Below are 26,234 nucleotides of genomic sequence, written 5' to 3' on the forward strand. Positions count from 1 at the left end.
CTCTCCTGCCCAGGCCCTGCTTATAGAGCAAATTACGACATATTGCTGAGTCTAGCACCTGGGTGATGTGACTCTCCTGCCTTAGCCTTGCTCACAGGGGACATTTTGACATATCTTTGGGTTCATCACCTAGATGATGTGACTCTCTTCTTCTGCCTGTGCTTTACCCACAGGAAAGCTTGGATCATATCACTGGGCTGAGCATCCAGGTAATCTGATTCTGTTTTTGAGCCTTGCCCACTGGGGGCATTGTGACATTTCACTAGGCCCAGCATTTAGGTGATGTGACTCTCTTGCCTGGGTCCTGCCCATAGGGGAACTGTGACATATTTCTGGTCCAGTGCCCAGGGGATGTGATGCTCTAGCCTGGTCTCTGCTCCCAGGTGGAATTGTGACATATACCTATGCCCGGCTAACAGGGATGAAGATGACTCTTGTACCTGGACTCAGCTAATAGGAGAGATTGTAACTTTCATAGCCAACATTAGGGCAACCAGTAATGTCCTGGGTTTCCTAATTGTATGAATATCAAAAAGGATTACATCACTTACTCATATTACATAAAGCAGTCAAGTGTACAGAGAGTATTATAACAGGGCTCAGCACAGAGGTGAGATTGTGACTTTCATATGCACACCCAGGCAACAGTTATAACTGTCACTCTCTCACATGGACACAGCCCACTGGTAAAATCCTGAATCTGACTCATGAACACAGTTCACAGTTGGAATTGTGACTATCATATGTGGATACAGCCACCAGTCAAATGCGGACTCGTGTATGAACTCAGCTCACAGGAATGGTGATAACTGTCATACCTGGATCCAACCAATAAGGGTTCATTCACAGTTTTCTAATGGCTCTACGAACAACAGAAATAAAAAAGGTATCTCTTTATGGGGTATACTTATATGTAGAGAATTTTGCTGCCAACTTATATATAAAAAAACTTTCACCTTGATAGGTAAAAGATGAAGGGCTAATGTGAGTGAGAAGTTTTAAAGAAACATTTGTTGCCTCATAATATCAGAAACAGAATATTGATCCACTGCTTTTAACCTACTTCATAAGTCAAAAATAACTTCTTCAGAATAGGTTAAAGAGCATTGCCAGCAGGCCATTACTCTTCTGAATGGGCATCATTTGTTAGATCATTTTTTCCATGGCTTAGCATAAATGAAGCAATGGTTAGGAATTTATCCCCCAAAATAGGGCTGTATAGCAGATTCTAATGTAAAGGCTGTGGTTACACAATAGGTATTAAATGTTCTAACTAAAGTTGTGCTAAATAATAGAATTTCTTTTGATTACTTACTGGATAAACAGAGAACTACTTGTGTAATTGCTAATACTTGTAGTTGCACATGGTAGAATACATTGTGTATTACAGAGATGCAGTTGTAGGGGATTAATGAACAGGCTGCTTGGTTGAAATGAGTAGATCATTATCTAGCTAATTATTTAATCTATTGGATTTTAGTTGGTTGTTCATGGGGACCTTGGCTAAGAAGCATGGTTTCAACTATTTTTTTTTTTTGTTTTTTTGTTTGTTTGTTTGTTTGTTTGAGACAAAGTCTTGCTCTGTAGCTCAGGCTGGAGAGCAGTGGCATGATCTTGGCTTACCACAACCTCCACCTCCTGGGTTCAAGTGATTCTCCTGCCTCAGCCTCCAGAGTGGCTGGGATTATAGGTACGCATTACTGCACATGGTTAATTTTTAGTATTTTTAGTAGAGACAGAATTTCACCATGTTGGCCAGGCTGGTCTTGAACTCCTGACCTCAGGTAATCTGCCTGCCTCGGCCTCCCAAAGTGTTAGGAAACAGGCCACCGTGCCTGGCCTGTTTCAACTTTTGGCATTATTCTCCTGCTAGTCAAAATAGTAGTCTCCCAGGCCGGGCGTGGTGGCTCACACCTGTAATCCTAGCACTTTGGGAGGTTGAGGTGGGTGGATCACCTGAGGTCGTGAGTTCGAGACCAGCCTGACCAAAATGGAGAAACCCCATCTCTACTAAAAATACAAAAATAAAATTAGCTGGGTGTGGTGGCACATGCCTGTAATCTCAGCTACTCAGGAGGCTGAGGCAGGAGAATCACTTGAACCCGGGAGGCGGATGTTGCAGTGAGCTGAGATTGTGACTTTGCACTCCAGCCAGGGCAACAAGAGTGAAACTCCATCTAAAAAAAATAAATGAATAAAATTGTAGTATCCCTACTGCACCGTATTCTCTCAAAAATTATAAATGTTTGCATGCAGTCATCTCTAGAATGTTAAATAGTCTCTTGTTGACTGGCCTGACAGAAACTCAAAGACATATGTGACTATGAAGACACCATAACCTGTGAATAACATTATAAGGACAAAAACCCGAAATAATGGAAATTGAGAGTGCCACTAAGGCCTAGAGTTTTGGTCACACTCTGACCTACGTAAGAACTTCACCAAAAAGCCAGGGTTTTAAAAAACAAAGTTGGCGGGGGGTGGTGGCTCACGTCTGTAATCCCAGAACTTTGGGACGCCGGGGCGGGCAGATCACAAGGTCAGGAGATGGAGACCATCATGGCCAACAAGGTGAAACCCCATGTCTACTAAAAATACAAAAATTAGCTGGGTTTGGTGGCGCGTGCCTGTAATCCCAGCTACTCAGGGGGCTGTGGCAAGAGAATCGCTTGAACCCAGGAGGCAGAGGTTGCTGTGAGCTGAGATTGTGCTATTCCACTCCAGCCTGGTGACAGAGCGAGACTCCCTCTCAAAAAAACAAAACAAAACAAAGTTATTGGAGGCCATCGTTCTAAACTGAGCTTGTACACTAGTTCCAAACAGACCAAACCAAACCAAAATGAGTCACCTGTGCTAAATGTGACATAATCCAACTGAAAATTGAAGAAAATAGGTAGATCCTAAAACAGGCCAGGTTTATATTTTTCTTCTGGAAACAGCAGATTTCAACACAAGGAAGCCCCTTCTAATCCTTTAAAAAATAAATAATAGGCCAGACACGGTGGCTCACACCTGTAATACTAACACTTTGGGAGGCTGAGGTGGGTGGATCACTTGAGGTCAGGAGTTCAAGACCAGTCTGGCCAACATGGTGAAACTCCATCGCTACTAAAAATACAAAAATTAGCCAGGCATGGTGGCAGGCACCTGTAATCACAGCTACTTGGGAGGCTAAGGCAGGAGAATCGTTTGAACCTGGGAGGAGGAGGTTGCAGTGAGCTGAGATTGCGCCCTTGCACTCCAGCCTGGGTGACAGAGTGAAACTTCATCTCAGTAATAAACAAACAAACAAACATAATAAAATAACCGGAAGCCCATGTTTCTACTTAAAAAAAAAAAAAACACAGTTCTGCTATTTTACAGTAGGATTTGACACTACGTAAGTACTCTTTTTTTTTTTTTTGAGATGCCGTCTTGCTCTGTGGCCCAGACTGGAGTGCAGCGGCGAGATTTCCGTGCACTACAACATCTGCCTCCTGGGTTCAAGTGATTATCCTGCCTCAGCTTCTGGCGTAGCTGGGATTACAGGCACCTGCTATCATGCCCGGCTAATTTTTGTATTTTTGTAGAGACAGAGTTTTACCATGTTGGCCAGGCTGGTCTTGAACTCCTGACCTCAGGTGATCTGTCTGCCTCGGCCTTCCAAAGTGCTGGGATTACAGGCGTGAACAACCACGCCCGGCCAATAAGTACATTTTTGATGACAACAGAGTGATATCAATATCTAAAGTTTTGATATATCTCTCAAAATTGAGAAGATGACCAAAAGGGAGAAATTGTTAAATTAATTATATTCTAATGCTGCCACTTTCATGTTTAATTTTTTTGATAGGTTTTTTTTCATACTAAACTGAAACCTAACTTGATAAATAAATAGACTGTACCCATTCTTGTACCAGCCACATTGTATTGGCAAATATAAGAATGTCAACTGTTCAAATCACGTTCAAATAAGGCAAATTCTAAGCTGTAATCAATATGGCTCTTTCTGTACATCCTTGAATTTTCTGTATGCCACTTTGCTTTTTCCACCATGTAGCTATGCTGGAGTATCTCTGAGCCTACTCTGGATCCACAGGGTATCTGATTTGCAAATCATTTTTTGCTCAGTTTAAGCCTGTTAAATTTAATTTCTCTAAAGTTTTTTTTTTCTTTTACAAGTTTTGAAATTATGTCTATGATGAAAAATAAATAATATTCTTGGGCTTTGACTTTTTAAGCTTATCTCTCAGCTTTTCTTTCAAATTATCCTATGTCTGTTCAAAATGCTCCTGCAATTTTTTTTGAGACAGTGTCTCACTCTTTTATCCTGGCTAGAGTGTGGTGGTGTAACCAATTATTTCTCATTGTAGCCTTAATTGTCTTGGCTCACACAATCCTCCTGGTTCAGTAACCTGGGACTACAGGCAGGCAACATCATGCCTGGCTAATTTTTAAAAATTGTTTTCATAGACATAGGATCTTACTATGTTGCCCAGGCTGTACTTGAACTCCTGAACCCAAGTGATTCTTTCAACTCAGCCTCCCAAAGTGCTAGGATTACAAGTGTGAGGCGCCGTGTGCTTCTGCAATTTCTTGACAGGACTATTCTCAATAATAAAGAGTACTACACAGGCACAAATCTAAAAAAAAAAAATCCAGCTTCTAGTGTAAAAGTATAATTCTCCAGTATTTCATGGGTCTGCAGAAGCCCCATCTATGGGGCAGCATTGATCAACAAATTCAGTTTATTCTGAGTTTCAGCCCAGCCACTTAGTAGGTGTGGGTCTTTGGACAAGTTTCTTGATGTAAAAGAGTTGTATAAACCACATATGCAAAAAAGGCAGAATAATATTGATTGTAAAAATTGCAGCAATTTTTCTTTTTTTCTTTTTCTTTTTGAGATGGAGTCTCATTCTGTCGCCTAGGCTGGAGTGCAGTGGTGCGATCTTGGCTCACTGCAACCTCTGCCTCCTGGGTTGAAGCAATTCTCCTGCCTCAGCCTCCTGAGTAGCTGGGATTATAGGTGCGCACCACCATGTCCGGCTAATTTTTGTATTTTTCTTAGAGACAGGGTTTCGCCATGTTGGCCAGGCTGGTCTTGAACTCCTGACCTCAGGTGATTCACCTACCTCGGCCTCCCAGAGTGCTGGGATGACAGGCGTGAGCCACCGTGCCCGGCCATAGCAATTTTTCACCCCTCCTATATCCATGCCCATTGCCAGATGCTTTTACAGCTGCTCCCATTGAGATACAGAATCTGTTTTACAAAGCTTAAATCTGGCTGACCTTGTTTGCTCAGGACAGTAGAAACCTGAGAACCGACAGTGTGCTAGTTTGGTGAAGGGCTGAAATGGTCTTGAATACTACCTTTTTCTTTTTAAAGTTTGGCAATGGCCGGGTGCAGTGACTCACTCCTGCAATCCCAGTATTTTGGGAGGCCGAGGCGGGCGGATCACCTGAGGTCAGGAGTTCGAGACCAGCGTGCCCAACATGGTGAAACCTTGTCTTTAATAAGAATATAAAAATTAGCTGGGTGTGGTGGCGGATGCCTGTAATCCAAGCTACCCAGGAGGCTGAGGCAGGACAATCACTTGAGACTGGGAGGCGGAGGTTGCAGTGAGGCGAGACTGTTTGAATGCACTCCAACCTGGGCAACAGAGCGAGACTCCGTATCAAAAAAAAAAAATTAAAATTCACATGTGGCTCACATTTTATTTCAGAAGATTGCCTTTTTAAAAAAAATCTTGGCCGGGCGCGATGGCTCACGCCTGTAATCCCAGCACTTTGGGAAGCCGAGGCGGGCGGATCACCTGTCAGGAGTTTGAGACCAGTCTGGCCAACAGGGTGAAACCCCGTCTCTACTAAAAGTCCAAAAATTAGCCGGGCATGGTGGCAGGCGCCTGTAATCCCAGCTACTCAGGAGGCTGAGGCAGAAGAATCGCTTGAACCCGGAAGGCAGAGGTTGCAGTGAGCCGAGATCGTGCCACGGCACTCCATCCTGGGCGACAAGAGCGAGACTCTGTCTCAAAAAAAAAAATAATAAATAAATAAAATCTTAGGCTGCCTCTTTAAAGAACTGAAGCCAGGAAGGTCATAAAAGCCGAAATTTTAAAATAGCTGTTATTATATTCTTTTCCTTTGTGAATAGCCATATTCAAACAAAGTTAATGGCAAATCCCCTCTGAGGTGGGCCTGGCTCATTTCAGGGAGGAAGCCCTGCCTGAAAACGCCACAGCTTAGGCTGTCACTCTTTCTTCATTGAACCCAGCATCTGATCACATCTTCTGTCACTCCAGGCCTGAATGGGCGGGGCCTTAAACGGCATCCATTCAGGGATGCTTGACTAAGAGCCGTCCAATCAGACCCGCAGCTAGAGCGGACAGGGCGGCTTCCGGGATTTGGCGCGGCCTTTTGAGTTCCTGGTCTCTGTGGCCTCCTGACCTACATGCATTGGGAGATCCACAGCTAAGACGCCAGGACTCCCTGGAAGCCTAGAAATGGTGAGAGTACCGGGTCCGACATCCCGAGAGAGGGGAAGGGCTGGTTGGAACCGGTGGGAAGTGGCTGTGGCGGGACTCAGGCCTCCCTGCTGTCAGCCCCACAATCTGCGCTCGGAGTTCTAGCCTGGCCCGGCCTCAGACACCTTCAGCGATAAGATGGCGGCTGTACTGACAGCCGGGCCCGAGCGTCTTGTCTCTTCCCTGGCAGTGACCGTGCCCTGGCCTGGAGCCCTCTCTGGGCAGCTCTGCACCCGCAGCGCCGAGTCTCTCCCAGATTGTGCAGGGACCAGGGGAGGGTCGTCAGGGGAGAATCCTGACTCGGGTGAGGAGTTCCTGAATGGGAGCAGCTTTGGTCCGTGGGGTTCCTAGTTCATCTTTTCTCTGAAATATTTATGGGAGTCATCGCAAAAATATTAAAGAATTTAAAGAGTTGTTCAAAAATTATAGAGCACCCCTATGGGTTGTAGTTTGTGGTCCATTAGAGGGGCTTGAAGAAAAGACTTTTATAAGATGCATGATGAAAAAACCCAAATTCTGTAATCAGGCACAGTTACGTAGTTTCCTAATTTCCACCTTGAGCCTACAAATTTCCTGATTATGTAATCAGAGCTTAATTAGCTGTTTATATTTGGTTAAGACTGAATTTCGTTTCCTCTAATGTAGTAATTTTTTAAAAATAAATAAATGCATTTGAGTTAGATTTTTTTTTTAAGTAGGAATCCAGAGAGTAGATTTCCACCTCAGCCTAATTCCATATCACTTAACTATTTTCTTTTTTTTCTTTTTTTGAGACGGAATTTCACTCTTTCGCCTAGACTGGAGTACCGTGGCGCAATCTCGGCTCACTGCAGTCTCCGCCTTCCTGTTTCAAGCGATTCTCCTGTCTCAGCTTCTTGAGTAGCTGGGATTACAGGCGCCTGCCACCACGGCCGGCTAATTTTTGTATTTTTGGTAGAGACGGGGTTTCACCATGTTGGCCAGGATGGTTTCAAACTCCTGACCTCGTGATCCGCCCGCCTCGGCCTCCCAAAGTGCTGGGAGTACAGGCGTGAGCCACCGCTTCTGGCTATGCCCTGCATTTTTCACATGTTTTTCAAGAAGGGTCTCAAATGTACCCCCCAATCCTCCTTTACTCTAGCCTAACTGTGGCTTAAAGTAAAATACTAAATTTCCAGCTCCTTCTGACAATTCCAAACGCTAACTTTTCCTCCGTAATAAAGATTATTAATTTTTTTTTTCTTTTTTGAAACAGAGTCTCACTCTGTTGCCCAGGCTGGAGTGCAATGGCATGATCTCGGCTCACTGCAACCTCCACCTCCCGGGTTCAAGCGATTCTCCTGCCTCAGCCTCCCGAGTAGCTGGATTATAGGCACGTGCCACCACGCCTGGCTATTTTTTGTAGAGACGGGGTTTTGTAGAGACCATGTTGGGCAGGCTGGTCTTGAACTCCTGACCTCAGGTGATCCACCCGCCTCGACCTCCTAAAGTGCTGGGATTACAGGCGTGAGACACCGCGCCCGGCCGCTATTTGTTTTTTAGCGTACTTTTTTTTTTTTTTTTTTTTTTCCGAGTCTCCTTCTGTTGCTCAGGCTGGAGTACTGTGGCTCACCGCAACCTCCGCCTCCCAGGCTCAAGTGATTTTCCTGCCTCAGCCTCCTAGGTAGCTGGGATTAGAAGCATACACCACCACGCCCGGCTAATTTTTGTATTTTTAGTGGAGACGGGGTTTCACCATGTTGGCCAGGCTGGTATCGAACACCTGACTTCAGGTGATCTGCCCGCCTTAGCCTCCCAAAGTGCTGGGATTGCAGGCATGAGCCACTGCGCCCAGCCTGGTGTACATTCTTGATAATGTATTTTAATTAATCTTTTTTTTTTTACAGCGCATTGGATGGAACATTTAAAGAGATTCGTTTTCTATTTTTAAGTCTTTTCCTTTAGAAGAAAGCAAAGAATAATCCCCTTGCAATGTACTGTAAATAAATCTTTGTGTGTCTTTCTCTTTATCTTCCCTAGGCACAGAGATCTTATGAGAACGTTTTGGGGTAATTTTTTTTTTTTGGAAACTTTATGGGGTTTTGTGTCCGCAGTCACCATTTAGTGTTTTTCTCCTTCTGGATTTTAGTACTCTCTGTGAATAAACGAAGATACTGTGTCTATGTCTGCTACAGTGTCTAGGTAATATCCGCTCCTGGGTCGTTTTCTGCCATAGGACAACCTGAGGTATGGAGTGTAGCCTCTCCAGGGAGGAAGTTGATGCCCTGGGGCTGAGAGGCATCTCCTGGCATATTCTTCCTTTGAAAAGCTGACATTTAGACATTAAGATTGTCTTCACCTAACCCATCTTCCATTTCTTGGAGACACATTGCTGGTCAGCCAATCAGATGCTGGTACTGAGAGCAAAACAGAAATAATTTCTGCCACCTGGATTCTCTAAGATTTGTGAAAAAAAAATAGTATCCCCAAAGACAGGAAAAAAAACCTGACCCCAGTGAGAAAGTGCAAGAATTTGCAAAGTAAACTGCACTTGAGGCACTCACTGGGGCATAGTGCAGTGTCTCCTCAGAGGGGGTCATTGAGCATTTAACTGAGCAGGGTGGGGTGGGAGAATCTAAGTGATTGGATGACCTGACTTGACACATGACTGAGACACATCTGTGTGTGTGATTTTTTTTGTTTGTTGGTTGTTTTTTTTTTTTTGAGATGGAGTTTCTCTCTTGTCACCCAGGCTTACTGTATCCTCTGCCTTCCGGGTTCAAGCAGTTATCCTTTCTAAGCCTCCGGAGTAGCTGGGATTACAGGCGCCTGCCACCACACCCAGCTAATTTTTGTATTTTTTAGCAGAGACGGGGTTTCACCACGTTGGCCAGGCTGGTCCTGAACTCCTGACCTCAGGTAATCCACCCGCTTCAGCCTCCCAAAGTGTTGGGATTACAGGCGTGAGCCACCACGCCTGTAATCCCTGGGTTTGCCACCTTGAAAAGATTTGTTTGCTTATATTGACTTCAGTTTCTTAACTGAAAATTGCATTTTATTAGTAGAGCTTGAAAGGTTAAAAAGAAAATGTTTACAAAGGGCATAAAAGAGGTGAGTTTCAAAATATATTCCATTTGTTAAGAGTTCGCATTTACCGTTTTTTTTGTTTGTTTGTTTTTGTTTGTTTTTCCCAGAATGAGTTTAGGAAACTTCTCAGGTGTGTTTTTATGGGTAATTTCAAACAGAATTCCAAGGCTTAGATTTTGTAATGCTATCAAGGCAAATAATAGGGAAATCTCTCTTTTATTTTGGCTGTAGAAAATAAATACATTTCCACAAGAAAATGTGGTAGATAATTGGTGAGTTGCATAGATTCATGAAAACAACAGTTTTTCTTTCTGTATGGTAAATTTCTGACAGTGAATATTTTTGTTCTATAGCCTGTGATCTTGATTTCTGATTTTAATGCTAAATATTACAAGATGAAACTTGGTACCTCTTAGGAATGTTCCCATATGATTGTTTACTACATAATTTTTAATGCAAATAATAAAATAATACATTTATTGTCTGAAAGGAATAGATACTTTGGGTTTTCTTGTTGAGGTATGAAATGTAAGCACCTTAAAATTTTTTTCCTTCATATGAACACTGTGTTTCAGTAATTTTGCTAGATGTTTTAGTTTTAAAAACTGAGTAAATAACTGACATAAAAATTGAAGCTTGAGCCCAGGGACTCCAAGCTAAGGCTAATATTGAGCCTGCAAAAGGAGGTTATTAAAGGCACCGTTAGTTCTTCCTGGGGAGCCTCCGCTGCAGATTTCCCAGCCTGCTCACCCTAGCCATGGAAGAAGCTTTTATTCCGAGAGAAGCTACACAGCCCTGGAAAGCTGGGGACCCTCAGGCAGACGCAGTTAAGGTTAAGATGGAATGGGACTGAAAGGATCTCACTGAAGATAAAGTTATTCTTGCTTTGAGGCAGTTTCTAGACTTTTAGAAATAAAACAAAGTCAGATTTATGTAAAAAAAAATTAAATTCTAAAGGAGTATTGCAGCAGGAGGAAGTACCAACCATAAGATATTTAAGGATTGCAAAGGATAGGCAGACAAGGGCTTTCTTCCATAGGAAGGAGCAAATAAGATTAGAAAGAAGGTGGTAGGGGAATGGCAAATGGAGGGTGAAAAATCAGATTCTAGATCACAGAATATTTTATCCTGAAGTCAGCATGTTCTTAGAAGGGACATAAAATTGGGTTTATTTTGGCTCAGACTGAGAATAGCTCAAAGTTCAGGAGCTGTGGGAAGAAGATAAACTTAAGTGAAGTTTGATTAACAAGTATTCTATTTTGACCACTGAAGACAAATTCAGCCAATTTTTCTATGAGAAAAAGATTTGCAGAGTCTATGTCTGGCTGTGATAGGTAAGCACAAAAAGGATAGAGAATTTTATTTATTATAGCTATTTACCAGGATTATCTTTATGCTTCATCTTTCTTCCATTTGACATTTCCTGGGTTGTATCTTTTATTATAAACTGGTCAGCATAACTGCAGTGTTTTGCTGAGGTCTGTGAGTAGCTCTATCAAGTTATTGAACTTGAGGGAGATTATGGAAGTCCCCAGTTTTTAAACAGTAGCTCAGAAACACAGATGGGGATGGCACGATTACTCATGCCTGTAATCCTAGCATTTTGGGAGGCTGAGGTGGGCAGATCCCTTGAAGTCAGGAATTCAAGACGAGCCTGGCCAACATGGTGAAACCCTGTCTCTACTAAAAATACAAAAATTAGCTGGGCGTGGTGGTGTGTGGCTGTAATCCCAGCTACTTGGGAAGCTGAGGCAGGAGAATCACTTGAACCCTGGAGGCAGAGATTGTGCCACTGCACTCCAGCCTGGGCTACAGAGCGAGACTCTGGCTTAAAAAAAAAAAAAAAGAAAGAAAGAAAAAAGAAAAGAAAGAAAGAAAGAAAGGAAGAAATGTAGATGGGCCCATGGAGTTTGTGACTGGCATCTGCAATAAGGACAATATTGTGGGACTGAGCCCTGAACCAAGGTCTGTGCTGACTCTGGGTGGTTTCAGAATTCAAATGTTAGACAGTGAGTTGGTGTTGAAGAATTGTTTGGTGTTAACAAACAATTTGGTGCCAGAAAAAATATCATGGAGGCCTGGCCTGGAATAAAACTCTGGGCGTGTGGGAAGGAGAGGCTCTGCTTTCCTGTACACAGGCCGTCACACTGCTCATTGTTCTGTGATTCCAGATCTCCTCTTAGGGTGAGAGAGGACTGAAAACTTAGAGAAAAGGAGTTCTGATGACAGACCCCATTTTTCCACAGCTGCCACCACAGGATTCCCACCCACTCACAGTCATGCCCACTGGACATTGACATGTGCACAGCCCTTCCAGGACTAGGCACCACCCTCAAAAATTTAACCATGGCATTTTTGATCCTAGTGTTTTTTGCCAAAATCCCACAAAATTGTCTACAAATTTTTGGCATATCCCTACCCCCAGACACTGAATCTGCAGCAGCAACCTCTTTTCTCCACCAACTTGGGGTTCTGGGCCACCTGTTCATAATCTCACCTGCCTGCATGGACCCAGAAATAAGTAGCACAAGCCAGTCCTGCCTACACTGCACTCTTCTCCACCCATTGAGTTCCTTTCTCTTAACTCTTATTTTTGTTTTAGGGGTACACGTGCAGGTTTACTATATAGGTAAAATTGTGTCATGGAAGTTTGATGTAAATTATTTTGTCACTGAGGTACTAAGCATAACACCAAACAGATTTTTGTTTTTTAATCTTCTTTGTTCTCCCACTCTCCACCCCCAGGTAGGCCTCAGTGTCTGTTGTTTTCCCCTTTGTGTCCATGTGTTGTTATTATTTAGCTCTTACTTAGAAATGAGAACATGGAGCCGGGCACGGTGGCTCACACTTGTAATCCCAGCACTTTGGGAGGCTGAGGCGAGTGGATCACGAGGTCAGGAGTTTGAGACCAGCCTGACCAACATGGTGAAACCCCGTCTCTACTAAAAACACAAAAATTAGCCGGGCGTGGTGGCACACGCCTGTAATCCCAGCTACTCAGGAGGCTGAGGCAGGAGAATTGCTTGGACCCGGGAGGCGGAGGTTGTGGTGAGCTGAGATCTAGCCATTGCATTCCAGCCCGGTCGACAAAGCTAGACTCTGTCTCAAAAAGAAAAAAAAAGAACATGCATTTGCTTTTGTCTTTCAGCATTAGTTTTCTAAGGATAATGGGTCATAGTTTCATCCATGTTGCTGCAAAAAACATGATCTTGTTCTTTTTTATGGCCACACAGTATTCCATGATATTTATATACTATATTTTTCTTTTTATATAAATATTCTACTTTATTTTCTTCTTATTTTATTATTATTATTTTTTGAGATGGAGTTTCACTCTTGTTGCCCAAGCTGGAGTGCAATGGCATGATCTCTGCTCACCGCAACCTCTGCCTCCTGGGTTCAAGTGATTCTCTTGCCTCAGCCTCCTGAGTAGCTGGGCTTACAGGCATGCGCCACTATGCCTGGCTAATTTTGTATTTTTAGTAGAGACAGGGTTTCTCCATGTTGGCCAGGCTGGTCTCGAACTCCTTACCTTAGGTGATCTGCCCTCCTCGGCCTCCCAAAATGCTGGGATTACGGGCATGAGCCACCACGCCCGGCCTTCTAGAAATGGGGTTTCTTCATGTTGCCTTGGCTGTTCACAAACTCTTGAACTCAGGCAGTCTGCCTGCCTCGGCCTCTTAAATTGCTGTGATTACAGGCATGAGCCACCGCCCTTCTGTATTATATTTTCTTTATCCAGTTTACCATTGATAAGGATTCAGGTTGATTCCATGTCTGTGCTATTGTGAATAGTTCTGCAGTGACCATGAATGTGCATGTGTTTTTATGGCAGAATAACTTATATTTCTTTGGGCATATACCCATTTATGAGGGTGCTGGGTCAAATGCTAATTCTGTTTTTAGTTCTCTGAGGAATCACCAAACTGCTTTTCACAATGGCTGAACTAATTTACACTCCCACCAGCAGCGTATAAGTACTCCTTTATCTCCACAACCTTGCCAGCATGTTTTTTTTTGGTTTTTTTTTTTTTTTTTTGAGACAGAGTCTCACTCTGTTGCCCAGGCTGGAGTGCAGTGGCATGATCTCAGCTGATTGCAGTCTCCACCTCCTGCTTCCCAGGTTCAAGCGATTCTCATGTCTCAGCCTCCTGAACAGCTGGGATTACAGGCATTTGCCACCATGCCTGGCTAATATTTTTTATTTTTAGTAGAGATGGGGTTTCACCATGTTGTCCAGGCTGCTCTCGAACTCCCGGCCTCAAGTGATCCACCCATCTCGGCCTCCCAAAGTGCTAGGATTACAGGCATGAGCCACTGCGCTTGGCCCTGCATCTGTAATTTTTTGATGTTTTAATTATAGCCATTTTGGCTTGTGTGAGAAGGTATCTCATTGTGTATTTTCTTTGCATTTCTCTAATTAATGATGAGTATTTTTTTTCATATGCTTGTTAGCCACACGTATGCCTCCTTTTGAAAAGCATCCGTTCATCTTCTTTGCTTCCTTTTTAATAAGGTTGTTTGTTTTTCCTTGTAAATTTATTTAAGTATTTTATGGATTGTGGATATTAGTTGTTTGTCAGCAGCATAGTTTGCAAACATATTATTCTATTCTGTAGGTTGTCTGTTTACTCTGTTGATAGTTTCCTTTGCTGTGAAGAAGCTCTTTGGTTTAGTTAGGTCTCATTTGTCAATTTTTGCTTTTGTTGCAATTGTTTTTAATATTTTCTTTTTTCTTTTTTTTTGAGACGGAGTTTCGCTCATTGCCCAGGCTGGAGTGCAATGGCATGATCTGGGCTCACTGCAATCTCCGCCTCCTGGGTTCAAGTGATTCTCCTGCCTCAGCCTCCCAAGAAGCTGGGATAACAGGCATGCGCCACCATGCCTGGCTAATTTTGTATTTTTAGTATAGGCAGGGTTTCACCATGTTGGTCAGACTGGTCTCGAACTCCTAACCTCAGGTGATCCACCTGCCTCAGCATCCCAAAGTGCTGGGATTACAGGTATGAGCCACCGCAACTGGCCTGTCCCGTTTCTTTATAACGCTCATGTTTCTCACGCTGAGAATAGTTGTGCACTTTGGGTATTTAAAGAGAAATATTTTTTTAGAGGAATATTTTCTGGTGGACTTGATCAATATTATATCTAATCTGAGTTTTGTTTTTAAAGATGCTTTTAACTTTTTATTTTCTCTTGATATAATCTTGCTCAGATGGAGAGCTGTTTTTTGCGTGAATTCTTTGGGTTTCTGTTTCAGAAGCCCTATTAGTATCCCATGATATCTGTGAATGAGGTGGGCTGTCACAGGGAGAACTTAGACCTATCTCTATCCGGACTCATGCTGGAAATCCAGCAGTACTTTTTTCATGTCACCATTTTAAATAGAAGCTGAGGCTGAAACACTGCTCCCATTCCCATTATCGTGAAGGTGCAGTTTCACCCAGGAGGCCTGCAGGCTCTCCTCCTGCAGCTCAGGCTTCATTGTCTGATGTGACACTGGAGTGCTGCTGTGGCAATTGGGGTTCATGTAAGATGTGAGCTGCCAGCTATGAGCTTTGTGTTGTGGGCTGTGTGTCAATGGCAGATAGTAGGCGTCAAGAGAGGACATGGCCATCAGGAGAGGGCAAGCAGGGTGCTCTAGCCCAGTGCTAAAGGAGTTAAAGAGCCATTGCTTTAAAATATAAATAGCCAAAAAGATAACACCCTATTCAGCCATTTCTGTAGGAGAGTGGGAGCCTACCTTCAGCAGGCACTTGGCTTCATGTTGCAGAATTAACCTCCTGTTATGAAGATGTGAAAAGTTTATTTTGTCATTGAATATAACCAATAAGCTTACACCGATGGCCTTGCCAATTGCCAGGTGAATTTAGGATGAACTACATATGACATGGTGCTGTAAATTTTTCCACTTGTGGACTAACTGTGGTGACTGTCTTTCTGGCTTGACGATCTCTTGAGCAGATTGACTGTGATGCGTGTCACATTCAGGTTAAATTGTGTAATAAAACAGTTTTCTTTCTGTTCTATCATTTTGGAGTTTTTCTGGGGCTGGAGAAAATTTTTCTTTTAATTATATTTTCCACACACTGTCTAGAATTACCAGACATTATATAAACTCATAAGATGCCAACCAAGCTTTACTCTAGAGGAGACTTCCTCTCAGGCTTCCAGTCAACTCACAGATTTCTACAAACTTCACAGGGTAGCAATCAACCATTTCACCTCTTTTAGTGACTGTTGTGTCTTCAGACCTGAAACTGATTCAGAGACCAGGGGGACCAGAAACCCAATCAGAGTAACATGTGAGTGTTGAGTAGACATGTAGACATGAGAATCTCCACTCTCCCCTTCCTCCTATTGCTAAAATACCCACAAATATGCAAGTAACACCTGCTGCAGATCCAAATTCTGAATCTAGGTCTTGAGATCTGGGAACCAAAAAAAAAGAAAAAAACAAACCTTTCATCTGAGGAATGCAAGTCCTTTTAGTTGTCAAACTCAGAGAGACATTAAAATGAGAACACAATTTTGTCTTTCTCCCACCTTTGAACTATGTTTTGTTGTTGTTGTTGTTGTTTTGAGACAGTCTTGGTCTGTCCCCAAGGCCAGAGTGCAGTGACGCAATCTTTGCTCACTGGAACCTCCACCTCCTAGGTTCAAGCGATTCTCCTGCCTCAGCTTCCCAAGTAGCTGGGATTACAGGCATGTGCCATAACAGCTGGCTAATTTTTGTATTTTTAGTAAAGAAGGGGTTTCACTGTGTTGGCCAGGCTGGTGTTGAACTCTTGACCTCAGGTGATCGACCCGCCTCGGCCTTCCAAAGTGCTGGAAAATTACAGGCATGAGCCACTGCGCCTGGTCCTGAACTAAGAGTTTTTTTTAATCTCTTAAAACTGTTAACTGTTGCCACTAGTAGCTATAAATTAATAATGCCACACTGGACACTATAACCCATACTCTAAATTTTAATGATGTATATCCAATCAATAATCAATGTCATTTCTGTAAATATAATAAAAATTTCTGGTAAACAACTTTGTATCAGCCATCTCTCTCTCCCTCTCTTTTTGCCTTTTCAGATCAACTTGTAACTGCTCCTAATCAAAGTGTAGATGACAGGCAACTTGAAGGTTTGCTCCCAGGTTACAATCCTCAAGCTTTGCCCAAATAAACGGTCTACTTACATTCATGTTGCCTTAGCTTTTTTTCTTTTAGGTAGACATATCTTTCAGAATGTGCTAAAGCAGCCTCTATAAGGTGATCTTTCCTTTGATTGTACTCTGCTTGCTGTAACACCCAAGAATGAAGAGCCAGGTTGATCCCACCTAGAATCTGCAAATAAGGTCTGTTCTCTTCCTGGAATTTACAAGATAAGGCCAGACTTTGAATTGAGAATGTAGAGAAAACTAACTAGACATTTTATGCATTGTCAGATGTCAACATAGACATCTTAAAGTTCCTCTTTGAGAATGTGATTCTTTCAGCTTCTCAGATCTTGTCCAGTGACCTGCTACAGTTATGTGAGGGCCACCAGGTATAAATAGAATCTGATGGCAGAATACGTAAGTGTGAACAAGCATCTTCAGAGTTATAGAAAGGTGATAATGTATCCAGAGCCATAACCACAACTACACCTGTCCCTAAAATGTGGGACTGGAGTAGAATATTCCTGTTCTTCCTCTTACCTAAGAGCTGGATAATCAGGACAGGTGATCCAGGTTCTGGAGCTTCTCCAGGGCAGTTTAATTTTTTGTTTAGAATTAGCCTGAGTCTCTCCTGTCTGTTTTATCATTGGGCCATCAGCCCAGGGTCACTGGGAACTCTCACAATAAGCTGGGTGTCTTTGAGACATTTGAGGATGTCCAGAGCAGAATTGTGCCAGGTTAACAAAAGTGGTTAATTCTGCTTCTATCTCAGTGTAAAAAATTGAGTCTTCTTGTGTTTGCTCCTCCCCTTACACAAGAAATGACTTTGGTGGGTACCCAGATGAATGTTTCTCCAGTTTTCAGATACTTGGGTGAAAAACAACCAGGATGTCTGGAGACTCAAACAAATAAACAAATTGCTTTTATTTTATATGGCGATTAGAAAAATAGATGAAGCAGTCATCCAGGAACCATCCAGGAACTTTTAGACTAGACTAGCAACTGAATAAAGGGTTGAATTAAGCATCATATGGTTGATTCATTGAACAGATGTGTGCAAAAAAATTTGCCTTTATTTGGGCCCCTTTCTTTATATTGTAGTGACTTCTTATGTCATCACCTGAAGGGATATTTATGAACAGAAGAGTTGTTATTATTATATGCGTTTCTATTACCTGCTAAGAATACATATTTATCTTCTAATAATTACCCTAGAGAACCTTAAGACATTTATTTAAATTGCTTATTAGTATGCATTATATAATGGACAGGGCAGTGGCTAAAAAAAATTATACAAACTCTGAGATTTAAGTTTCTCTTAGGCAAGTTTAGGAAAGCAGAACTGGAAATACGCCAGTGGCACAGAGAACAGAATTCTACATAAGGTCCACTCCCTGCCCCAGTTCTGTTCAGATTCACTCTATTTGGGGTCTTGTTTAGATCTGGCCCCACTCTGGAGTCTTGCCTCACAGAACTGATTGGAAGAGATGAGAGTTTTGGCTGGTGAATCCTGCTGCCTTTCTAAAGCTGGTACTTACAATTTTCTGAACCCCAAAGGAGATAAAGGGAAAAATAAAGTATGTATTTTAATGTCTTAATTTTTAAATTTTCTATTAAATCAGTGCTTGCAGATTCCATTTAGCATCTTGTTTTCTATTCCTGCAGATTCAGTAGTTGCTCCACTAGTCACACAAAAAAAATATAAACACAATAAAAGTTTCTCTAAACTGCGTTAAACTTTTCTCTATTCAGGTAATTTGTCTACATTTAGCTTTTATTGTATACATTTTCTTTAAAAAACCAAGAACAGAAACAGAAGATGAAATACATGTGCTGGGCCCTTAACCTAATGCTGGGAATTATTAAATACTTAGTACCAAATCGCAGTGTGTTATGAGGATTAAATCACATAATGTATTATTCGTATTAGTACTCTGCAACATACTCTTGAGCACATAGTACCTGCTTAAACATTGCATTAGTACATGTGTATATGTTGTTTTCCAAATGTAGGCTTATTCAGGCACTCCTACCTTTTATTGCCTCTGTAAACTTTAAAGAACCAGCAAAGAATTTGATGCTTTAGGATGGAGATTAGTTATCTTCATTTGTGCCAGAAGTAATTGTGTTGTGAAAAGAGTACGGAGTTTAAGGGACTCTGTGCTGTGCCTGCTTTCTCTAATGCTAATAATGAGCCCAGGGGGAGCATCATCAGCATTGACAGGGGACTTAGTTAAAACACACATTCATGGCCGGCGTGGTGGCTCATGCCTGTAATCCCATTTGGGAGGCCGAGGCGGGTGGATCATGAGGTCAGGAGATCGAGACCATCCTGGCTAACATGGTGAAACCCCATCTCTACTAAAAATAGAAAAAAAATTAGCCGGGCATGGTGGCAGGCGCCTGTAGTCCCAGCTACTTGGGAGGCTGAGGCAGGAGAATGGCATGAACCCGGGAGGCGGAGGTTGCAGTGAGCCGATATCACGCCACTGCACTCCAGCCTGGGTGACAGAGCGAGACTCTGTCTCAAAAACAAAACAAAAACACTCATGTACCCTTTGAAAACCTGCAGAATCACATTACATAAAGAGGGACTAAAATTACTGAGTGGTTTATAAGCTCGTTAAAGCTTGAGAGACAATGCTTAGCTAAGTGGTTATAAACCCAGGGTTCTATTAGTTTGGTGCAAAAGTTATTACAGTTTCTGCCATTGTAATTAATGTGGATTACTTAGATGTGGATACTCAGATTACATGGCCAATTCACAGAAATATCTTTGCTCGTGCCCTTTCCACGGGTTCTTTTTATTGTTGGACACATCCATGTTGTTTTAATTAAGAGCCTCATGTGATTCTAAGGTGAGGCCAGAATCACTTATGAGGGGTTGAAGATACACTCATGAGAGTTCAGTTTCACCTGTTTACTACAGGGTGATTATAGGGCCTGTTCTGTTTGGGTTTGGTATGGACAGGGCAGTGTGGCCCATATTTTTATTACTGTAGCAGAGATTGTTGGTGTCTGTAGCAGGGGAGGGCACCTAAAGAGAGGAAAGGAGAAACTTTTATTTCTTCTTCATGGGGAAACTCATTGTTCCTGAATTTTTCATGTTATAAAGGACAGAAATGGATGGACTTTTTCAGCGGGTCTTGGTACTTCTGCCTGTGGGTGTGGTGGTAGCAGGTAAACAGGTGGTGCTGACACCTTTAAAGGCATATTCTCAAGATGCAGGTCTAATTTGTCCAGAGAATCTCAACTGAAAAGGAATCCCAGAGAAGGAGGAGATAGGGAAAAAATATGCCTTTTTTTTTTTTTTTTTTAGCTAAACACATCTCAGATCAAGAACTGCGTCCACTCTGCCTCGTGGATTTCCATGCATTTAGTACTTGCAAACCTTTACTTCTCTTGCGTTTTTCCTCCCTAATGAGTTTGTTTTAACTACTTTTGAAAATTTTATTGATAGTCAAGGGTCTCTGAACAATATTTCTTTTTAGAGCCTTTTCTAAGTTCTCCACATCATGGCTTTTTATATGCCATGGAGGATTCTCACCATTAATTTATGATCTGCAGTATTAAAAATGTTTCCTTTGTGGCTGTTGAACATGGGAGGGTGGGGATACTCAAGATTCCTGTTGGGGAAAAGCTGGTATCCTTAGTAAAGATGGAGAACAGGTACTGTTGAGGCTCCATTTGTGTTCCCCATTAGCACTATGCAGAACGGGATTAAGGAAATGCTTACTTAAACAAGATGACGGCCAGGTGCGGTGGCTCCCACCTGTAATCCCAGCAGTTTGGGAGGCTGAGCAGGTTGGATCACCTGAGGTCAGGAGTTCAAGAGCAGCCTGGCCAACATGGCGAAACCTCATCTCTACTAAAAATACAAAAATTAGCCAGGCATGGTGGCGCATGCCTGTAATCCCAGCTACTTGATAGGCCGAGGCAGGAGAATCGCTTGAACCCGGGAGGTGGAGGTTGCACTGAGGCAAGATTGCGCCACTGCCCTCCAGCCTGGATGACACAATGAGACTCTGTCTCAAGAAAAAATGATGAGATTTATTACCCAGAAAGTTTGAAAGATAATTATCAGGAGATAACTGCTCTCTAGGGTGCTCAAAAAAGACTCCTTAAAATCACTACTAAAAATTACAGAAAATGGGAAATATCTGTATCTTGAATTTTGCATAAAACTGATGTTTCTGTATGGTTGCATTCAGCCTATAATTTCCTTTTTTTTTTTTTTTTTTTTTTTTTTTTGAGATGGAGTTTTGCTCTTGATGCCGTGCTGGGATTACAGGCATGAGCCACTACCCCCAACCAGCCTATAATTTACTTTTTGGGAACAATATTTCAGCAGTGATGCTGTGTTATGTGTGTATCAGCACATCATACAAATTTTTCCTACTGCTGTTGATGTTTATGATTCACTTGGATAAGCACTCTCTGACAGATTTTTTTTTTTTTTTACTATAATTTTTTTCTTTGTTATTTTATTTTATTATTATTTTTGAGACAGGGCCTCACTCTGTTGCCCAGCTTGGAATGTAGTGGCGTGATCTCGACTCACTGCAACCTCTGCCTCCTAGGTTCAAGCAATTCCCCTGCCTCAGCCTTGCAAGTTGCTGGGACTACAGGTGCCCACCGCCATGCCAGACTAATTTTTGTAAAGGCCTTTTTTTTTTTAATTAAGTATCTTTATGCAGCTGATGTGTGTAAACTATCAAATTTAATTTGGCAGCTGCTCTTTCTTAGAGTTTCTTTGCATATATCTGTCCTTGGAAAATGAAGAGTTTCATCTTTTATAGTCCAGAAAAACTGGAAAAAACACAGGTTCTTCCATATACTGGATGTTTGATAAAATATTCTTCTTAGGCCAAAATCATTGGCATTATTGGTGAGCTTGTTAGAAATTCAGAAACTCAGACTTTATTCCAGATGTTCTGGAAAAAAAAAAAATCTCCATTACAAGATCTCCAGTTTATTGTACACATTAAAATTTGCTAGGTACCTTCTAACTCAACATGTCTTTTCCATCTCAAAAATACACAGAACTCATTCTCTATGATGTTAATATAGCACTCAAAAATATACATGCTTGTGTTAATGCCTTTAATTTTATACTTTATTATCCAGAAAAGTATCATATATACACTGATGTTGTGGATCTTATTCCACTCTTTTTTTCAGAATTAGAGAATACATAAGAGAATATTTCTGTGTTGAAAATTATTTTCGGCCAGGCGTGGTGTCTCACACCTGTAATCCCAGCACTTTGGGAGGCCAAGGCGGATGCATCATCCGAGGTCAGGAGTTCGAGACCAGCCTGGCCAATATGATGAAACCCCATCTCTACTAAAAATACAAAAATTAGCTGGGCGTGGTGGTGGGTGTCTTGTAATCCCAGCTACTTGGGAGACTGAGGCAAGAGAATCACTTGAACCCAGGAGGCAGAGGTTGCAGTGAGCCGAAATTGCACCATTGTACTCCAGCCTGGGCAACAAGTGCAAGACTCTGTCTTAAAAAAAAAAAAAAAAAAATTATTGGAGGATTTCAGTCATTCCTATAAGTCAGAACCTGTTCTCTTTACTCTCTCATTTCACCTTCAGTCAAATTAAAAATTCTGCCGTTGGCCACCCGGTAAATATGTGTGTATGTGTGTGTGTGTTTTTTTTTCAGGGACCATTGACATTCACAGATGTGGCAATAAAATTTTCTCTGGAGGAGTGGCAATTCCTGGACACTGCACAGCAGAATTTATATAGGGATGTGATGTTAGAGAACTACAGAAACCTGGTCTTCCTGGGTGAGAATAACTTCAATACACAATCCTCAGATACTGTAAATGTTTCTTTTTTTGGTGTTGTAGAATGTTTTTTGGTAATTGATGCTTTGCATAAATGAGTTTCACATCACTGTTTTGAAGAAAAGCTTGGGAATTTGTCAGTGTAGAAAAGAATTTCTTCAAGATAAACATCTTGAAGTTCACCTTGATCTGAACTTTCCACATTCCTGAGCAGACCTGTAGTTTTTACTCACCATTAGCGATCATTTCAAAATTTAGTGACATAAAATATTGTTGCCCACACCTTAACATCTAAGTGTCACCACCAGCTTTTGATTCAGTGGTACTGGGTAGAGAAATTATTTTATTTATTTATTTATTTATTTATTTATTTATTTATTTATTTATGAGATGGAATGTTGCTGTTGCCCAGGCTGGAGTACAATGGTGCGATTTTGGCTCACTGCAATCCTCACCTCCCAGGTTCAAGAGATTCTCCAGCCTCAGCTTTCTGAGTCGCTGGGAGTAGAGGCATGTGCCACCAAGCCCAGCTAATTTTTGTATTTTTAGTAGAGATGGGGTTTCACCATGTTGGCCAGGCTGGTCTCGAACTTCTGACCTCAAGTGATCCACCCTCCTTGGCCTCCCAAAGTGCTGGGATTACAGGCATGAGTCACCGCAGCCAGCCCATTTTCTAAATATTAAGAAATTACTGTTATAAATTACTGTTTTGGGATGAATATACTAGAATATTCTATTATGTTCTCTTTACTGAGCACATTATTTGAAGAATATGAGGAACATTCATGTTATTTATTTTTAATAAAACAGGTGTTGGTGTCTCTAAGCCAGATTTAATCACCTGTCTGGAGCAAGGAAAAGAGCCCTGGAATATGAAGAGACACAAGATGGTAGCCAAGCCCCCAGGTAGGTGGAGAGTGAACACAATGGACAACACAGATAAGACGTCCAAAGGTCAAGGAGAAAGCCAGTCCTTAAAATAGATTTTGGGAAGCTGTGTTCCAAAGAAAATAGTTTCAGGAAAGCCTGAGAGTTTAAAAAATTTTACTCTCACATAGGGGCATCTTCTGCATTGTGCTATTAAATTTTCTAAGGATTCTACTTTCCCTTTTGTGATCTTCCTTGAAGTTTACAGTGACAGCCAAAGTCTTCTTCATGGCATATAAGAGACTGCACAATCTACTTTTTCATATTTTCAAGGGAACCATAAATATCTGCATAATTTTATAAAACTCTGTTAGGCTGGGCAAATGTCTCACACCAGTAAACCCAGCACTTTGGGAGGCCGAGGCGGGTGGATCACCTGAGGTCAGGAGTTCGAGACCAGCCTGGCCAACATGGTGAAACCCCTTCTCTACCAAAAATACAAAAATTTGTTGCTCGTGGTGGCGCACTTCTGTAATCCCAGCTATTTGGTAGGCTGAGTCAGGAGAATCGCTTGAATTAAGGAAGCAGAGGTTCCTTAATTCTGATGTCGTGCCATTGCACTCCAGCTTGTGTGAGAAGAGTGAAAGTCCATCTCAAAAGTAAAAAAAAAGAAACAAAAACCTATGTTAAACTGTTTTTCATGTTTTCTTGTTTTATCGTGTTTAAAATATGTGAGAGTAGTGGTTTCTGTTCCATTTGTTTTTTCATTTTTCTGCATAATTCATCCTGTTTTTATTAGTATAGTCTTGAAATACAGTTTGGAATTATTATATTAAGTATGACATCCTCCTGGTTTGTTTTTTTTTTGTCAAGATTGCTTTGGCTATTCAAAGTTTATTGAAGTTTTATGTAAATTTTAGGATTGTGTTTTACATTACTATATAAAAGATAGCACTGGAGGCTTTTTTTGAGATGGAGTTTTGCTCTTGTTGCCCAGGCTGGAGTGTAATGGCACCCTCTTGGCTCACTGTAACCTCCGCCTCCCGGATTCAAGTGATTCTGCTGCCTCAGCCTCCCGAGTAGCTGGGATTACAGGCACGTGCCACCATGCCCAGCTAATTTTTGTATTTTTAGTAGAGCCGGGGTTTCACCATGTAGGCCAGGCTAGTCTCAAACTCCTGACATCAGGTGATCGGCCCACGTCGGCCTCCCAAAGTGCTGGGATCACAGGCGCTGGGTCTTTTTTTTTTTTCTTTTTACTGAGATGGAGTTTTGCACTTGCTGCCCAGGCTGGAGTGCAATGGCACGATCTTGGCTCACTGCAACCTCCGCCTCCTGGGTTCAAGTGATTCTCCTGTCTCAGCTTCCCCAGTAGCTGGGATTATAGGCATGAGCCACCATGCCCAGCTACATTTCTTTTTATTAAATTGTTTAATTTATATTTAAAATAATTGCTTAAAGATATGAAGTTACTATTAAGAGTTTATTATTTTTTTAGATACGTTTTTTCTCATTTCCTGTTTTACTGCCTTAATTTTTGTTTAATTTTGTTGTGACATGCCTTGCTTATTTTTTATTCTGTTTCACATGCTTTCTACAAATGCAACGCAGTCATCCTGAAATATAATGTGATCATGTTGAAAAATGGAGATTACATAAAACATCTTAAAGTTAAAACAATACATTTTAATATCATAACTTCAATTGAATACAAAACCTATATCTTTATATTTTCCAGTTTGTTATTGATATTATAAATATTATCTTGTGTATCTATTAATAAATGTAGGCAGATTTAAGTGTTGTTTTTTCTATTTACAGAAGAAGTTTAAGGGTTTTATGCACCATCATTATAATAGAATTCTATATGTGTCTCTATATTTACATTTAACAGAGAGCTATTTATTTATTTATTTATTTATTACTATTTTTTTTGAGATGGAGTCTTGCTCTGTTGCCTAGGCTGGAGCGCGGTGGCACGATCTTGGCTCACTGCAACCACTGCCTCATGGGTTCAAGCAATTCTCCTGCCTCAGCCTCTTGAGTAGCTGAGATTACAGGCACGAGCAACCACACCCAACTAATTTTTCTATTTTTAGTAGAGACGGGGTTTCAGCATGTTGGTGAGGCTGGTCTTGAATTCCTGATGTCAGGTGATCTGCCTGCCTTGACCTCCTAAAGTGCTGGGATTACAGGCGTGAGGCACCGCGCCCAGCCTATATACATTTTCATGATGCTGTCCAGCATGATTTTATTTTTCAACATAATGGACTCATTTTAGGATTTCTTTTTATTTATGTGCAGTCTCACTGTATTGCTCAGACTAATCTTGAACTCCTGGTCTCAAGTGATCTGACTGTCTTTGCCTCCTAATGCTATCGGATTACAGGCATGAGCCACTGTGCCTGGCCACCATGTAGCATTTGTTATAGGACTGTGTTAGTGGTGATGAACTCCCTCACTTTTCATTTGGGAAAGTCTTTATTTTTGTCTTGTTTTTGAAGTAAAATAATTTTGAATAAAGTATTACTTGTTAGAACTTTTTTTTTGAGACGGAGTTTTGCTCTTGTTGCCCAGGCTGGAGGGCAATGGCGCGATCTGGGCTCACCGCTACTTCCGCCTCCTGGGTTCAAGCGATTCTCCTGCCTCAGCCTCCGGAATAGCTGGGATTGCAGGCATGTGCCACCACGCCTGGCTAATTTTTTTGTATTTTTAGTAGAGACGGGGTTTCTGCATGTTGGTCAGACTGGTCTCAAACTCCCAACCTCAGGTGATCTGCCCCCTTCGGCCTCCCAAAGTGCTGGGATTACAGGTGTGAGCCACTGCGCCCAGCTAGAATTTTTTTTATAAAATCAAAATTGGTAAAGTTCTCAGTTTTTG

The 26,234-nt window shown here is 41.8% G+C and overlaps 1 protein-coding gene and 1 pseudogene across 5 annotated transcripts in view; one reads left to right on the forward strand and one right to left on the reverse strand.

Annotated features, from left to right (window-relative positions):
* The window catches only part of ZNF723 (zinc finger protein 723), a 46,450-nt gene that overhangs the window by 13,683 nt on the left and 6,533 nt on the right, over window positions 1-26,234 (forward strand). For 4 of the 5 annotated variants that reach the window (XM_047439223.1, XM_024451652.2, XM_047439225.1 and 1 more), the window contains 2 exons: window positions 22,361-22,487; window positions 23,298-23,393. In XM_047439223.1, the coding sequence (XP_047295179.1) occupies window positions 22,361-22,487; window positions 23,298-23,393 (223 nt within the window). Of the gene's footprint in view, window positions 1-6,390; window positions 6,483-22,360; window positions 22,488-23,297; window positions 23,394-26,234 lie in introns of those variants that run through there. The other variant, NM_001349726.2, reaches the window with a different exon arrangement.
* Window positions 14,532-15,021, reverse strand: BNIP3P35 (BCL2 interacting protein 3 pseudogene 35; annotated as a pseudogene).

The sequence above is a fragment of the Homo sapiens genome, chromosome 19, assembly GCF_000001405.40.
Source record: "Homo sapiens chromosome 19, GRCh38.p14 Primary Assembly".
Classification (NCBI taxonomy): Eukaryota; Metazoa; Chordata; class Mammalia; order Primates; family Hominidae; genus Homo; species Homo sapiens.